General features: G+C 38.0%; 1 protein-coding gene across 37 annotated transcripts in view; it reads right to left on the bottom strand.

The window, feature by feature from the left end:
• The window catches only part of SNCAIP (synuclein alpha interacting protein), a 152,867-nt gene that overhangs the window by 122,104 nt on the left and 12,227 nt on the right, over positions 1-18,536 (bottom strand). The gene's annotated exons all lie outside the window — the stretch shown is intronic.

The following is an 18,536-nucleotide window of genomic DNA, read 5'->3' as shown; positions in this document are numbered from 1 at the left end:
TGACCAGTGAGAGAATGGGCAGCTGATGGGCAAACAGCTAAAATCGAAAAAATCCTTGTGTGTCATCATTCACAGAAGTGTTAGTTCCACCCTCTTAGAGGGGGATGTGGCTTGAAGGAAGCAAGCATATTTTATATAAATTTGCTGCAGAAACTGCCTTTATTTTATATTCCTTTAACTTCATTCAGATTCCATGACATAATCAAGAAGTGGATTTGTGAGAGACAAAGGATTTTGGAAGCATCTAAATTCGGGATGGAGTATTGTTTTTTAAGTACTAGCTGCTCCCACCACATCCCAAGAATCTCCTCCTATCCAACATTTGCAGGGTACTAGGGGTGGATTTTACATGGTTGGAGCCTGCTCAAAACAACGGCGTTTCCTACAGATCCCCAAGAGATGAAGGCTCTACTGCTCTTTTGAGGAGGCACTGAAGGGGCCAGTGAAGGGCGGCATGGAAAATCATACTGTTTTCCAAATAAAAGGGCAAAATAAACTGGAGGTTCTCTGTACTTGTCTGAATTTAGGCAAAGTTCATTTAAAGCCTGGGATTGGGTTAATTTTCGAAGGATTAAACCTGAATCTTTAAGCGGGTTTGCCTTTTTAATACGCTAAAACAGATGAAAGGCTTACCAAACTGGGAAATATATTGTTCCCTTTGGTGAATGTAACACAAAACTATAGAAAATGAATATTGACATGAATAATGTTGATTTTTATATTTCAGAGTGTGCACTTCCGATTTTTATGTATTTGTTAGAAAATACCAATGACTAAAGTAGCTGATTCATTTAACTGACCACAGGGCTTTACCCTGACATCTGAAAACAACTTAAGTTTCAAAATCTTTGCTGAAGCCAGGGAATTGAGACTGTTCAACCTGTAAGCTCTGTATACTTCTCTTTCAACACTTTAAAAACGTGCCCTGTCAATTTTAAGAAAGACAAGGTGCTGATTATCCTCGCTGGTTAGCCAAGACATAAAGTAGAAATTTCTGGCACTAGAGATTCTAACTTTAAATATGTCCTTCCTCACGGCAAAGTAGGCTCTTGGGGTTGAATAGAAGGGGAAGGGTGGTGGGCCAGAAATGCATTAAAAAACATTTTCCTTCCCTCTTAGTCCATGATCACTTGATTCAATTTATGAATGCCTAACCCCTGTTTAAGCTTAAATGTTAAGGTACTAATGCTAATTTATGAAATCTCTCATGAAAGTAGCCTGAAAATCAACTTAATAAACAGGTATTACTGACCATCGGCAAGTGCCTAATAAATTTATCTAGATACAGGTGATGAAGTAGTAAAATTTACTCTAAAATTTCCAAGGAATTGACATATGATTATGTGCTTTTGAATAATTGAGTATAAATGTTCACATATTTTAACAAAAGCATCATTGAAATGATTACTTATGCACATAGGACAAAGTAATGAGAAATAGGATAGTATGCAATGTCAATGCTGATTACTTCAGTTCAATGTTCTAAGTTATTTTCATGGCTGCTGTAAATATTTTGAAAAATATTCGTTTGCTTCAAGGTATTGACACTACTCAATGGTTTTTTACCTAGAGATTCTTACTATTGTTAATGAAACAGGTACTGAAGCTTTCCTGGTGGAGGAACAGAGAAGTTTGTATTGGAAGAAATTGGACTATTTTTTCACTCTCTTCTACTTATTCCCATTCCCAACTACCACTTAATAATTCTTGCCAGGCAACTTAGCATAAATGAAGGGGAAAACATGATGGCTCTCTGTGTTCACATATACAATGAGGGGACAGTACTACATAGTACTATTTACATTTGGCTCCTCAGTATTTAAAATAATTCAATTGCATCTTGACCCTCCTCATCCATCACATGTAAAAGAAGCACAGCAGAATTCCCATGTTCTCCAGTGAACAAACAAAAGGAAACTCAACACATGGAAAAAATACTTCAGGTGCAACAGGGAAAAAAAAATCTCCCTAGAGTTTCCAATTCTAAGTCGGTTTTGTATAATGTCTTATTCTAAACAGCTTGTAACGGCAATTTATGAGTGCCTGATGACTATAACATATTGTGGTCTTAAAAAGAAAAAGGTAATAGGAGATTGGCTTCTTGTTGAAATTCCATTTTTTTATAGATTATATTGTTTTCAAGCTGAGTTGAGCCTGAAATTAATATAATTAACCCCCTGCTCAGTGACACTCCTCTATTTTCCATTCTCATTCATCTTTTCTCTATGCCCCTGAAGACAGACTTGGAAGGGAAGGAAACTTGTATTCAGTCGTTTAATATTCCACGTTAGTTCCCAGACTTCTGTTCTAGCAGACAGTATTAGCCAAACATGAAAACAACTTGAGAAATCACAAGAGACCCTTCATAGCCGAGCAGCTTGCGTTCCATAAATAGCATTTACATTTTCTGTTAAAAATGTTATAAAAGCATATCAAGAATATCAGACAGACAAATGATCAGATAAAAACTGACCACAAAGATTTGAATCAAGACCGGAAATCTCCTACTGAGATAGGTAAGTGTGAATAAGGAAGGTGGTGTCCAATTTTGGACCAATCAATAATAAAAGACAATATGCCAAATGAAACAGAATTCCAACTGCCTCTCCCCCTTTGGCTAAAAAGTACACACCCATGGCTTAAACCAAAAAACTGGAGGGTTACTATATTTTTGACACTTGTAGAAGAAAACTTAAATGTATCTAAAGATGGTTTTGATTCTATTTTGAAGATTCTGTTAAGATAATTAGTTGCCTACTCAAAATTGATTGGCATTCCATGTGTGTAAAATGGAAGACAACCCAAGACTTCGGTCTCTCTTTGACTTAGATGGGAATGTGAACACCGGAGGTTTACAGGCTACATGCAGCCCACATAAGGGATTGATATGGCCCACTCAGTGTCCTAAAAATCAGAAAATTTCACCAAAACATCCATATTTTTATCTTATCTTGAAAGTCAGAAGCTGTGGAGAAACTGGCATTGCATTCCCAAATGATCACAAACTCAACTTTCTCCAGACCTACACCATTCAATTTGTCAGTATCCACTACTCCTCACTGTATAATACTCAAGTGCCCCTCCTTCCTGCCTTTGTACACGTAACTTTGGAATCCCTGGCCTAGAAGCAGAGGTGCATGTGAATCTTGCCCTACCCCCCATTATTAATCTACTAGGAGAGCTCCTTGTACTAATAGCCTCATTCTCTTGGTCAAATGTCACCATTCTATTTAGAGGACTTAATATATTAATTACAGCCCTATACTCCCTCTACATACTCAACTCTCATGTTTAGATCACAAAGAATTTTAGGAAATGAGCATTCTTTTAAAGATTTGGGCAAACAGACATGAATGACACAAAACTTCTTCCAAAACAATGAAACTTGAAAGTTTAATAATCACTGTACATTATATGTGAATTCTCTAGATATTATAATCATATTTAAGTTTTGATTTCATATAGTCAATAAAAGAGAACTTAAAGGCATCCTTAATTTGGATTTCATTCACAACCTTTATAAATTGTCAATATCAGCATAACTTTATATATGTGTGCATACGAAATGGTATAACTGTAGTTCTGTGACCATTTTAATACCCAGGACAATAAAAAAGTAATAAATTATTAAATTATTAGTTGGTTTTTACTGTAGCACTAACAGTGATAATCCAATTTAGGGACCTTTAGATTAATACTGACAAATTGTGAGCATGAATTTTTAAGCTGACTGACTTGTGGTTGTTAATGAACACACATGCAAGTGTAAAGTGTTCATGATGGATTAAAATCCTTTATCTACATATATCTACATCCCTCTATCTGCATTTCAAAAGGCAAACATATCATCTGTTTTTAGTACTAAAATGCTAAATAATTTATAATTCAGAGTAATACAATATATAGGGGACACTGCATTAATCATGCAGAAGTATCCGTTCTATTTAACCGTTGGTGAAATCTTCCATTAAATTAAGATTTGAGCTGAAACTGAAGACATGAATAAAGTAATAGTTGCTTGAGAAAAGACTTAAAATACTTCCGGTTGAGATTGTCATTTACTTCAATGTATCAAAGAATATATGTGACTCAAAATATTACAATGACTCTCCTTATTCCTTTTTATATTATGGAAGATGAAATATTATATAAATATCTGATAAATGTCTTAAAGTCCTCTCGAATTTTCTGACACAAGCAGTACCCTATTAAAATAAACCAGGTAACAAGAGAACCTTTTCTATTTCAGTTGTGCTGTCAAAAATAAACCAGAGGAGGCAGGGCGCAGGGGCTCATGCTGGTAATCTTAGCACTTTGGAAGGCCGAGGTGGGCGCATCACCTGAGGTCAGGAGTTTGAGACCAGCCTGGCCAACATGGCGAAGCCCTGCCTCTACTAAAAATGCAAAAATTAGCAGGGCATGGTGGCGGCATGCCTGCAGTCCCAGCTTCTTGGGAGGCTGAGGCAGGAAAATCACTTGAACCCAGGAGGCAGAGGTTGCAGTGAGCTGAGATTGCACCACTGCACTCCAGCCTGGGTGACAGGGCGAGACTCCACCTCAAAAACAAACAAACAAACAAACAAACAAACAAAATCCTAAAAAACAGAGGAAACAGATTGTCTCAGAGCAATGAAGTTGCATCACTTGTCATGTGATTCAACTGTGGGGAATCAGGTAACTATTTCTCTCGGTAAAAGAGACACATCATTCAGGCATTCTAATCAAGAAGGCCTTGGAAGTTATTCTCATTTAAAGGAAGTTTAAAATCATTTCAAAATTTGTTTAAGTCACATTCTTAGAAGTGTATATGCTTACATTTTTCCTAATGGCCACTCAAATCATTTCTTTCTACTGGTTCCACAATCTCCTCATCATAAATAAAATGATTATTACGTAGGATCATTGAAAGGTTGACATTGTTCTGCACCCACAATATATGTGCAGTATACCTACAATATATCCATATTTTCCCTTTTCCCATGTTAATCCCATTGGAGGGGGAATCAAGCATGGGATTAGGAATCAGTAGACCCAAGTTCACCTCTGACTCCTGCCACATTTTGCATCATTTCTTTTACCTGTTAATTCATCGACTAAATGGAGGCAGAAGTACAGGGCAGAAACCATCCTGGAATAGTCCTGTTTTCATAAGATGCTAGGCCACTGTCATCAGCACTACATTCCCGCTAAAGTGCAGATAAAAATACTTGCCTTGGCCAGTGTGGTGGCTCACACCTGTAATCCCAGCACTTTGGGAGGCTGAGATGGACAGACTGCTTGAGTCCAGGAGTTCGAGACCAGCCTGGGCAACATGGTGAAACCCTGTCTCTGCAAAAAATACAAAAAAATCATCTGGGTGTTGTGGCATGCACCTGGGGTCCTAGTTGCTTGGGAGGCTGAGGTGGAAGGATCACTGAAGTCTAGAAGTTTGAGGCTGTAGAGAGCCATAATTGCACCATTGCACTCCAGTCTGGGTGACAGAGCAAGACCCTGTCTCAGAAACAACAACAATGAAAAGAAAACACCTTGCCTTTTTACCAGCCAAGGCTGTGACAAGGGCCAAAGGAGATAAACACTTAGCTTAAAGGACAAATTTCTGAGGTCTGGGAGGACAAAAAGTTATCTACTGAAATAGAAAACCTCTATGGTCCAGGGACTAGAACAATGAAGGACAGGAACAAGAAGAAGAGCTTTAATATGGGCAGATGTAGGTTAGAGTCATGACTACACCAGTAACCAGCTGTATGATCTTGGACAAGTCCCCTAGCCCCTCTGATTCTATTTATTAGCAGAATTGGACAATAGTACCTTCCATACAAGAGAGCCACAAACATTAAATGACAGAAATATTTTATGGTCGTAATACAGTACATAAGACTGAAAGTGTCTCATTCTGTGTATCTGTTACACACTCTCTCTCTCTTTCTCTCTCTCTCTCTCTTGATAACCAGTATTGGCTAAATATATTACTTCTATGCAAAATAGGCTTATTTAAATAATTTCTTTTGGTCTTATTTTGTCTGTAGAAGAAGGCCTCCCTCTGTAATAACACTATATAAGTTAAGTCTTAATAATAAAATGCAGATATTATTCTTGATTATTTCCTTTTCTGTCTTAAAATTTCAAAATATTTCAGTCAGCTACTAGAAAGGGCATTGTCATGAATCGCCAGGTTCTTTTACAGGACTTAAGGACATATTCGCCCAGCTCCTGGGAAAGATGTTGCCTGATGGCCCTTGGCTTTCAGCTTTCTATACGAATTGCCCTGGGCTAGAAAGAGCCACCTTCCTGGGGCAGCCTGTATTCATTCAATAACTGGATGGCATGGAGTTATACAGGCCAGGTGCCCTTGCTCCAACTCAGTACAATGCCGAAGAGCCCTCCTAGCTTCAGAGCTCTCCATGGGTTGGCTGAGGCTTTAAGTGAGACTATGTCAGAGCTCAACTTCTCCTTTTGCCTGCTCTGACTCCTTCCCTTCCTTCCACAGGTGTTGAATCCAACAGCAGTCCCTACTAAGCTTCCTGCACAGATTCTGTTTCCTGGAGAACCTGATGTACAACAGTTAAAGTGCAGAGAAACCCTCTGCCAAACTTTGGTGTGCTTTAAAAGTTATGGCAGTCAGGCTCCCTTTACTGTCATAACTGGAACACCTTTCACTTTTCAAAAGAGCTGGTGTATCTGCTTGCTGTACAACTACAAATATATACTTTTGATTAAGAAAGTTGAGAAAAAATAAAAGCAGTTTAATTTAGCCCAATGATTGTTTTGACTTATTTGTGAATCAAGTGGTTAACAGAATTGAACTGTTATTTTGACACTGTCAAGACAAATCCTTAGATATGTCACACACACAAAAAGCCTATCTTTCGAGTCCTTGGCAATTGTTCATCTCAAACTTCTCTATAAAACTGTTTTTCCTCCTAACAACAATTTCCACCAAAGATAAACGCTAAAATGTCAGATTTTATTTTTCTTTAAAATAAGATATTTTAGTCATCAAAAGAAAGAGGAAAAAAATCCTTAAAAATGTGTATTTAAGTTGCCTATAAGCCTTCCTCCCACCCTTTCAACTATGTTAGTTATTGAAAGTAAAGGTGATTTGTCACTTGCATTTTAGAATATCTCCCGGCTAAATCTACAGATTTAGTAATATCTCTGGCAATGCAGTAACATTTCCTGAAACCTGTAGTCCCCAAATCCACACCTATAGGGTCAATATAACTTTTGCCCAAGAGGCCTAGATTGAAGGAATAATACACAAATTACTGGACACTTATCCAAAATCAGTGGTTTATTTATATGTATAATGGTGACAATGAAATATTTACATTCTATTTAGCTTAGGTCTACTGCAAAGTTGCAAAAAATTAGCACATTTTCTAATAAGATATTTTTCAATTGTAGAATGGTCTTTAAAAAAAAATTTCTCCTAATATAAATCCACAGTTCCCAGTCTAGGCTTTGCTGTTAAAATGCTTTCTCTAATCCACCCTGTTTTCCTTCCCTCAACGTTACCACCTGACGTCCACTGACAAGAACCTGTGCTAGTCGCACGGCATGTCACCTCTCTGCTGTAACTCTCTTGAGTATGAATTAGTCAACAGTTGACCTTAAACATAGGTCAGCTGGACTTCCAGCTTATTTTTTCATATAATGAAAAGTTAAACTCTGAAAAAACATCTATTTTATTGTCACTCACATCTGAGAGAGGCAATATGGTATAAGCCTCCAAGTACGAACTTGAATCTGAGGTTCCCAGGGTTCAGATCTCAGCCAGGCCTCTTGCTGGCTGTGTGACTTGGGCAAGTCATTTGAAAACTTGCTTCATTTTTTTTTTTTTCTTTATCTGTATGGTAGAGATGTGAAATCATTCTGACCTCACAGGGTCATTGTTTACATTAATTAACATAAATAAAGCATTTAGAACAGTGCCCGCACCTGGTATATGCTACGTAAGTGCTAGTTTTTATTAGTTTGCCATTCCATTTTCATTTCTTTGAGTTCCTCTTCTTATAACCTCTTTGGAGAACTGAAGCCTGCCATACCATCCTCTCATGTTGTTGTTTGACTCATGATTTGATTCACCTCTCTCTTCTTCACAAAACTCAGTCTTCTATGCTGATCTCTTCTTTCTTGTAGCCTCCATCTCCCCCATCTTTACCACAGTATACATTCCATTTCCCCACAATTTCTGGCTTCTTATTGTCGTCTATCTGCAAACAATTCAGCCCACTGTGGCCTTACCATGTTAACACGTAAAAGGTAATTTACTAGCATGGGTAGTCTATTGCAATTAATAATCTTTAAGGCACACAACCACCCCCTGCTCAGGACTACTGCTGTTCACAGCCTGGTGCTGATTCTTTAATAAGTCATATAGTAAGCTCTGTCTTGACTTAATTTGGCAGAGAGATACCATGATTGCTTAAGCACTCAAGGGAAATGGTAGAACAATCAGAATATAAGATGTAGTTTCAAATTAGATATGAACTTGAATTTGAAAGAGACCACTGCTTTTCTGTAAATGAGATACGGTCTCCGCCAACAAAGTGCCTTCATTCTTATTTCATCTAATGGCATTAGCAACAATATCAGCTCTGGTTTAAAGAATTCCTGAGATTCTTCAGAGCTGTGTGAGGTACAAAGGACTAGATCTTGCTTTTGCAATAGCTACTGTGCATTGGCTATGCAAGGCAGGCGGTAGTAAAACCTAGCGGAAGTCAATAAACTGAGACAGGACTTGGAAAATACCTAACCAACAAATAGGTTCCGTAATAATGTGACATTTTTATAGTCACATTTTTTAACCATAACAGCACTTGAATGGTACGCATTATGGTATTTCAATTTAGTCATTTATCTAAAAATGAGTTTTATCTTTGCTCATAAATAAGCAGTGACATTCCAGCAATTTGAAAAGCTCAGCTTCACCTTTTGCTGGGAAGCTCATTTTACAATTACAGAAACACATGCCCTTTTGTGCCACATTGCTTAATCTTTGATTTATGGCTTCTATCTTTGTGCTAACCTCTTTCTGTAAACTACACAAAGTTTGTACAAGCTCAGCTATTTCATTCTTATTTCTGATTTTAATGGCTTATTTTCTCCATAGTGGCCATGTCTCTCAACCAAATAGCTTTGGAAGAAAGTATTTACCCTTTCAGTTCACCAAATACTATTTAGCATCTTAGTGTGTTCTCAGAGTCTGAAATAAGTAATGCATTTTCCTAAAAGCCTGGCCAGCTCTTTCAGAAAGCCTTTCTTTTCTGCCCCCTGCTTCTCCCATTGCTTGTTCTAATGGGCCTCACAGCAAAGCCCTTAAGCACAACTGCTGCCTGCTCTCCCTCCATTCCCCACTTCACTTTTACCAAGATCCCTCAGCCAGCAGGCTAGGGAAAGGAAAATTAAAATGGCATCAGAATGGTTTTCCTTCCAGTGCCACTGTCTGCCTTTCAGTGGTGATACTTGGATGTTTGCAGAGTCACTCTCAACTTCTCCCGCAGCTTAGCTACAGCTCTAGGTCTTGTCATATAATTCAGGGAACACTGGAGATGTCTTTCATGGCAGTACTCTTAATTCAAGGGAAATTATATTTTGCTCTAAGTCCATGGAAATAAGTATAATCTTATGCCCGCCTTCACCTGTATCCAAACATTACAGATTTGGCAGGTATGCTTCAAGGTATATGCTCTGGGGCTGTTGCCAGTGACTTGTTTCATTACACATGGATTTTCTCCTCTTTCCCCCTCATTTCTGTTATTTAGTGAGATAAGGAGAAATGTACCTTTACTCCACCATGTGTAAATAGAAGTCTTTATAAAAATTTTTGTAAAAATATAAAAAGATGCTGATGGTCGACTGTTAAGTGGGAAAACGCAAGATACAAAATAATATATCCAGGATGACACATCATTATGATATCAAATACATAAAGAAAGAAAACACATCAACATGTTAAATCATTGTCTGGAGTTGGAGAATGATTTAAAATTTTCCTATTGATGCATCTTTGCATCTTGCAAGTTTTTTATGTGTTTTCAGTCAACAAGTATCACATTCTAATCAGCCAACACTGTTTACAAAAAAACACATTCACGTGGCAGCACTCCCTATTTAGGATTGTTTATTAAGTGCAGGCTTGTATCTGTACACTTACTCATTCAACAAATATTTACTGAATTTCTGCTATGGGCCAGGCACTGTGCTAGGTTTGATGAATATATCAGTAAGCAAAAAGAAAGTCTTTCATGTATCGTCTAATATTTTGGTGGGGGAGATAGACAACAGGCAAACAAATAAACATGACATGTTAAGTTAGGGTAAGTGCTATGATGAAAAAATAATGCAAAGTGAAGTTACAGAGAACGATACGGGATTAAGTGGAGACATTAAATGTGCTGAGTCTGGCTTGCCCCTTCCACCATGTGAGGACACAGAAGAAGGCAGCAGCTACGAACTAGAAAGTGGGCCCTCACCTGACATGAGATCTGCTGGTGCCTTGATCTTGGACTTCCCAGCCTCTAACAAATGTGAGAAATAATTTTCTGTTATTTACAAGCTACCCAGATTATGGTATTTTGTCACAGTGGCCTGAAAAAACTAGGAAGGTCATTAAATCAGTGAATATGTATTTTTTTATTTCTTAAGTAATTCTCCATAAGGACACAATATTTGTACATTGAAAATATGTAGAGACTAATTATATCTTCTGAACTTCTGGGAAACAGTGTATTTTTAAGGAGCCTTTCTGTTAAGGTGTTTGACTAAGTAGCTAAAATAGTGAATAGTAAAAGGGACTGCTTAATGAACATTTAAAACCCAATGAACTTGAGATTTCACGTCACACAGGAATTAACTAGGGACCATATTTTTAATAAATTGTGTGCATTAAATCAGGGGTCCCCAATCCCTGGGCCATGGACTGATATCAGTTCGAGTCCTGTTAGGAACCAGGCTACACAGGAGAAGGTGAACAGCAGTGAGCAAGCAAAGCTTCCTCTGTGTTTACACCTGTTCCCCACTGCTGGCATTACTTCCCAAGCGCCACCTCCCGTCAGATCAGCAGTGGCATTAGATTCTCATAGGAGCATGAATCCTATTGCGAACTGCACATGTGAGGGATCTAGGTTGTGCGCTCCTTGTGAGAATCTAATGTCTGATGATCTCTCACTGTCTCCCATCAACCCCTCCACAACCATCACCAATGGGACCATCTAGTTGCAGGAAAACAATCTCAGGGCTTCCACTGACTCTACATTATGATGAGTTGTACAATTATTTCATCATATATTACAATGTAATAATAATAGAAATAAAGTGTACAATAAACGTAATGCGCTTGAATCATCCTGAAACTATCCCCTCCCCCAACTATGGAAAAATTGTCTTCCATGAGACCAGTCCCTGGTGCCAAAAAGGTTAGGGACTGCTGAATTAAATGATGGCTTACTACTAACATTTGTTCATCTCAGTAAATTTTTTCATGAATCATATGGGAAAACCAAAGGCACTTAGACTGTACCCTCACAATGCAAAGTTCCTTTAAGTAAATTTTAGTATGCAAATTGTATTTTTCATATAAAACTAGGCAAATTTTCTGTTATAACACATCTACAAGATATGAAAGCCAGGTGAAAATATAAGTTGAAATACAAATGCTGTAACTGCTCACTTTCTCACTATTGTTAAGAAATGAGGCCGGGCGCGGTGGCTCACGCCTGTAATCCCAGCACTTTGGGAGGCCGAGGCAGGCGGATCACGAGGTCAGGAGCTCGAGACCATCCCGGCTAAAACGGTGAAACCCCGTCTCTACTAAAAATACAAAAAATTAGCCGGGCGTAGTGGCGGGCGCCTGTAGTCCCAGCTACTTGGGAGGCTGAGGCAGGACAATGGCGTGAACCCGGGAGGCGGAGCTTGCAGTGAGCCGAGATCCCGCCACTGCACTCCAGCCTGGGCGACAGAGTGAGACTCCGTCTCAAAAAAAAAAAAAAAAAAAAAAGAAATGAAGTTGTACACGGAGGTAAGCCCATACTTCATCAAGTGCTTGCTATATCCCACACTGTTATAGTGGCACATGCTTCTGTTTTTTCATTTAATCCTTAAAACAAAGAAGGCATTTCCATTTTGGAGGTCAAGCAATTTGCCCCCATCTTATAGCTAGCAAATGAGTGAGCTAGACTTCAAATCAGGTGCTCTAATCCCAGGGTCCACACTTTTAACCGTTAGTCTCCATTGACAACTCCTAAGCTTATGATGGCTCCACTTGAAGTTCCATTTTGATGAGAGTAATTCTAAGATACATATTTCCATATTTACTTGAAAACTGCTTTTGAATCTAACTTAATAATTTGTATGTACCTTTATAATTTTAAATATCTATTTTTAAAAGCCATGTTATTTTACTCTCTCATGATATATCTGCTTTTGGACACATAAGCTGTTTCTGCTCCTCTAATCTTAATAAGCTTTTTGCACCAAAGTTATTCAGATTTGTAAGTTAAAGTAAGCTCCTCAGTGAGTTCTAACAAACATATGCTGGGCTGTCTTTTCATTTATCTATCTGTCCATTCAATACCTTTATGAATTACTATCATAAATTTTCTTCACTTGATTTCTATTTCCCCTACCCTACTGGAAATGGGGATAGAAAGGAGACCATAAATTGAGAACAATTTAACAACTAAATAAGGCAAGGCTTTTTGAGTGTTTCGATATTGGGAGACACCGGGAGGTTCAAGAGAGGGAGTATTATGAATAATTAACCTCTTTTTAATTCTCATTTGTTTTCCTGAAATAATCCTGATTGAACTCCCTGTAATAAATCTTGTACTCAAATCTTTTTTTTTTTTTTTTTGCCACATTACCTTTCCAAAGCATAGATTGATTTCTTCTCCTTTAAAGGAAATAATGTATGTAAACAAATTAGCACCTTGTCTGGTATACAATAAGTGCTCAGTAAACACTATTATTTTTGCTATAATTCTGTGCCAGACATGAAGCTAAGCATTGAAAATGTGGCAGACATGAATGAAACATGGTGCCTGGCATTGAGGAGCCTGCAGTCTAGTTGAGACAGAGAAGAGTAAATAATTTATCACCATACAATTGTGGAAACACTTTACCCCAACTTGAGTAACGGCAGAGGTTAAGAGAAATGAGTTGACAGGGTAAGAAGCATGGAAACAGGAACAGGAACAGGAAAATACCCAGAAGACTAACAAACTTTGGAAATTTTAGGAATCTTCAAGTTATTCAATAAGGCTAGAAAAGGGTAAGGGACTGGCCATGGGTCCCATGAAGCTGGACAAGTGGGCAAGGCTCAAATCATAAGGGCTTAAATGTCATGCTAAGTGTTTTAGGATTTTATACTAAAGCAAGCAAGGACTTACGAAAAATTTACTAGCAAAATCACTGATGTGATCAATTTGAGAAAGATCAATGTGTTAACGGAGCAAGAACTGATCAGAAAGGTGTAGAATTCAGTTAAGATGTTGCTGCAGTAATTGAAAGAGAAAATAATGACAATCCAAAAAAAAGATACTACAAGAAATGGGGATGGAAAGGAGACAATAATATTCAGAACAATTTAACAAATAAGTAAGCCAAGAATTGTTGAGTGTTTAGATATTGGAAAATATTGAGAGGGTTCAAGAGAAGGGAGTATTTATGGATAATTTTTTGAAAGCTGGGGCTATTCACCAAACTAGGAAATTTGGACAGAGCCAAGATTTTGAAGGGAAGGTAATGAGTTTACTTTGCGGGTGCAGACTTTGCAAGAGCTGATAAACATCAAAATGCTGATGGCCAGAAGACAAAGAGGATCTCTAGCCCAGGACTAGAAATACAAATTTGGAAGTCACCAACACAGGTGATAGTATAAACCTTGAGAATGAGTGACATAATCTATGTAGGATTATTTATTAATCACATTCATTGAAAAAGATATATAAGCTTTCTCTTACTGCAATGGGAAACAGATCAAGACTTGGCTCAAACTATCCTTTTAACATTATCTTCTGATACTCTGTACTATACATTTTACTGTGAAGTCACATCAAAATACTTATATCTAGTTTCCCAAGTTCTGTCTAATCCCAACACTGTCCCCTAAATTTTCTGCCTAGTGAATACCCACTTGGCCTTTAACCCTAAATCACATGAGACTTTTCCTGTGATGCCTTTGAAAATCTAACCATCTTCCTCCCCATTTCACATGGAGATCATAGTTCCCTCTCTCCTTCTGACTATAGCACTTGGCACATGACTCCACTACTGACATACAAATGTTTCTTCTCCACCAGACAGAAATTAGCTAGAAGAAAAAGACTGCATACACACAAAGAAATGTACCTATATAAGTCCGTTTTCACACTGCTGTAAGAACTATCTGAGACTGGGTACTTTATAAAGGGAAGAGGTTTAATTGACTCACAGTTCCACATGACTGGGAAGGCCTCAGGAAACTTATAATCATGGTGGAAGGCAAAGGGGAAGCAAGTACCTTCTTCACAAGGTGACAGGAGAGAGAAAGAGCTCAGGGGCAACTGCCACTTTTAAACCACCAGATTTCGTGTGGACTCCCTCACTATTATGAGAACAACATGGGGGATACTGCCCCTGTGATCCAGTCACCTCCTACCAGGTCCCTCCATTGACATGTAGGGATTATAATTCAAGATGAGATTTGGGAGGGGACACAGAGCCAAACCATACAGTACCAGAGCATATTTATAGAATGACTGCCCGAAATAATGTGTCCTCCATCTGCAAACATCATCAATTACTCTAAAGAACCTATGCCTACTTCTGTTTGGCAAGCAGCCAAGGAAGGTTCTTGGGTATAACGTGATATTTCCAGTATGATCCATTAGGAACTTTATTACCACATTACTGGTACTCATGTCAACACAACTGATGTGGTGAAAACAGTGAAATCATTTAGAATAGTAATGACTAGGAATACACTAGTTCCTCTCAATAAAAATTGGACTTTATTTCACTTGAGGCAAAAAATAAAAAGAAATGAAATCTAAACAGAAGTAGAGGTCTGGAACAAACAAAAGGAGATTTCACTTGGATCAACTGGGAGATCATTACGGTACTTTGATCTAGTATCTCCTCCAGAAAGGATAATTCAAAGGCAATACATACATACATACATACATACATACATACATAGTTGAGAAAGTTTATATATGTTAAGTGTCCACTCTATGAAAGCATTTTCTTTATAAAGACAGAAGGCAGGACTTCCACCTGGAGCTGGCCTTAAATAAGATGTTTATAAAAGTGAGAGGGAGACCCAAATGTTTAAATGAAAATAATTCCTTCTAGAAGCATGAGCTCTTCTGGCAACAAGATATTTGTTTTTGTCTACTCAGCTCCTTACACAGAAGGGACAATCTATAAATCCTTATTTGGGCTGACATCAAAAGACCTTGCAAATTGCTATTCCTCCCTTGACTCTACTTAATTGTAAAAAAAAAAAAAAAAAAAAAAAAAAAAAAAAAGGAGACATTTCTGAAGTTCCCTTTCTCTCTATTCTATAAGAGAATACTTGGACAATTTTTCCAAGGCAGTGAAAGATACACTCATGAGGTTTGAAATTTCAATAACTATGACAAATTTATTATCAAATGGAAAGAAGTTGTAGTAGTATGTTTTGTTTTTCAAGATGACCACTACTTCTTTAGGGAATTTGTTAGTTTTCATTCTTGAAAAACAGGTTAATGAGTGTACTATAAGTTACAGATGAGATGACTCTAAATATCACAGAGTGACCTACTTTATGTGGCTTATGAATGAGAGCTCTAAGAGAGAAGTCAGACAAATGTGTATGAGTAGAAAAACCTACTACACAAGCATTAGAATGCTGGTCTCCTATTCAGTGTTGCTTATAAACAGATCTACCCTCAAGAGCCTACAAGAAATTCATTCCTAAGGATCATCTGTCTTGAAACTACCAGGAGGATATAAATGTGAAAATGCTTAGCCTCAGCCCTTACAGTAATTAAGTTGAAGATGCTGAGCTGTCAATATTTCACCCCAATTATTATTCAGTGGTCACAAATAGAGTTTATTAGTTTAAGCATACCCAATTATCCCAATTAGGTTATGTTTTAATTTACTTAACTTTGAAGCTGCAACTTTCTCTTCCAGACATATTGTAACTGTGTACGACGTGCACAGAAACAAGATAGGAAACCCTCACTTCACTTTTTAGTTCTGCCACTGAAGCACTGTGTGACCTTAGCCCTTGACCTCTGTTTCATTTTTCCCCATCTTTAACACTTGCAAGGTAATAGATTTCTTCTCACTCAAAAAAAATTGAAGAATGCAAAAATATTGCGAATACTTTGTAAAAAAATAAAAAAGCTAATGATGACAATAATCCTTTGTTGAATGCATAGTAAGAGCTAATAGTTATACTAAATTCCTGATAAATCCTGCCATTCTTACAGTGTCCTCTGAGACAGGTAATCACTGTGTCAGTCAGGTTCCCCAAAGAAAATAGATGGCATACTCAAATGCAATTTGAGAGTTGTTTAGTAAAAAGGGCATTTGCAAAGCTGTGGCCAAGGTTTAGAGAAACTGCAAGCAATGATGTAGTACTCTGAGCTAGTAAGACTAAAAGGGAGCAGTTATCAGCTTAAAGTTGCTTGGGGAGGGCACAGTTACTAGGACCCAGAGAACAGCCATAGGGAGACAGCTGCCTGTAAGCACATGTGCCTTGTAGTAGGGAGAGGTGATCTGGTAAGATGGGAGCCCAGGGAATAAAATACCCAAACCTCTCCCTCCCTACCTGTTTGTTAATCTTTTGCTGATCCACCCCATTGGCCAAACCCAACCGGAAGCCAGAGAACAAGGGAGCCTGCTGATTGGATTCCATAAGGCTGGCCAGCCATCTTATCACACAGAGCAGGTGGAGAAAGGGAGAATGGATCTGATAATCCACTAGTCTTATTTTATCCCAAGTGTCCCAAACTTGCCTTGAAGAAATGAGATAATCAATAGATATTTGTTGATAAAAAAAAGGGAAGAAACCATATCAAAATACTGAGGGGTTCAATACGCTGTTCCAAATCACACACAGTAAGCCGCTGAGCCAGGCCTTGTTCTGAGGTTCAAGCCCATGCTCATAATCAGTTATTATGTTATTCTGCCTCCTTTCCACCACCTCGATCCCATGTTATTTCTATGCTGTCAGGTGTTTTGGGAGATAGGGGGAATGACTAGAATACCCTTAAGAAACTTGTAATCCATGTGCCAGTTTTATCTTACTTTTCCATCTCATTATTGTCAAAGCTCCAAATTCCCTTCTAGAATCAAATGTTCTGTAATGGTGGGTCTTAAACATCTTATAATTCCATCACCAATTACTACTAGTGGCTGAGCAGTGAAACCTTCCATCACATGGCATTTTGCCTACTTGTTTGACAGCACCTTGCCTCAGATGGATGTTCTGAGTGTAAATAACAGGTAACAAGATATCTTTTGTGAAACAAGCCCCTAACCTCTATTAGCTGCAATGGAATAAGCCTTAAAACTTATATTAGGAACACATTTACTTGTTAGACATGTTGAAGGATTCATTTATTCCACAGACATATACTGATCATACAATACATACCAGACACTGTGAAAGATACTCGTATACATTGAGAAAACAATTCATACCAAAATCAACAACTGGCTTTCTATAGGAATTAGTCAATAATTATCCACAGGGCAAGTAAAAGTGTGTTAATTACTGAGAGGTCATGAGCACGCATGCTGGAGTAGAGTGGTGATCCTGGTCCCCAGCAGGACCCTTCCCTAATTCTATCCAGGTTGTTCTAAGCTTGGATGTAGGATATAATTTCACAATCAGCACAAGTCATCCTACTCCTGATTTTGTTCCTTGAGACAATTAAGTATTCTGCTATTTTTTTCATCTCTTAGGAAGGACCCTGCTTTGAAATACCAGTCCCTTTGTGGAAGGGCCTGCCTCAAATAGATCAAATAGAAATTTTTCCCTGTGGGTTTTTTCTTAGTCCTGTTTTTGAGCTTGGGGAGGCCACTCTTTCACACCTGGTCCTGACTAAAATAGCACATAGCAATCTTTCATCTTATTCAGGGACAAGGCAAGTGAACTGACATGTAGCTACTCCCTTTCATGCTGTGTAAGAATCATCTTTGCATTTTTAAAAACGGTTGTACGATGTGTCACGCAACAAGGTTTGCCAAAGCAGGGAGGGGATTGGAGGGGGGAGGAGAAAGAAAAGTAAAGCAGAGTTGGTTTCCTACATGCACATTTTAATAATTTTGGAAAACCATCAACCTGGATCGAATTTCTGTACTAATTTGACAGCTTCCCACTAATGGCAGGAATGCAAAGCCATCAATTAGCCTCACGATAATTAGATTTTAAAGAACACTCTATTTTCGTGGTAACTCTAACAAATAGAAAACTTCATTTCACTGAAAACTCAAATACTCACACATCGTGATGCTTATTTTATCCAGGAGTTCTAGGTAAGACCACTTTTTCAAATATC

This window comes from Homo sapiens, chromosome 5 (genome assembly GCF_000001405.40).
Source record: "Homo sapiens chromosome 5, GRCh38.p14 Primary Assembly".
NCBI classification, from domain to species: Eukaryota; Metazoa; Chordata; class Mammalia; order Primates; family Hominidae; genus Homo; species Homo sapiens.
Note: the sequence above shows the minus strand (reverse complement) of the source record. Positions and strands in the feature narration are given on the sequence as shown.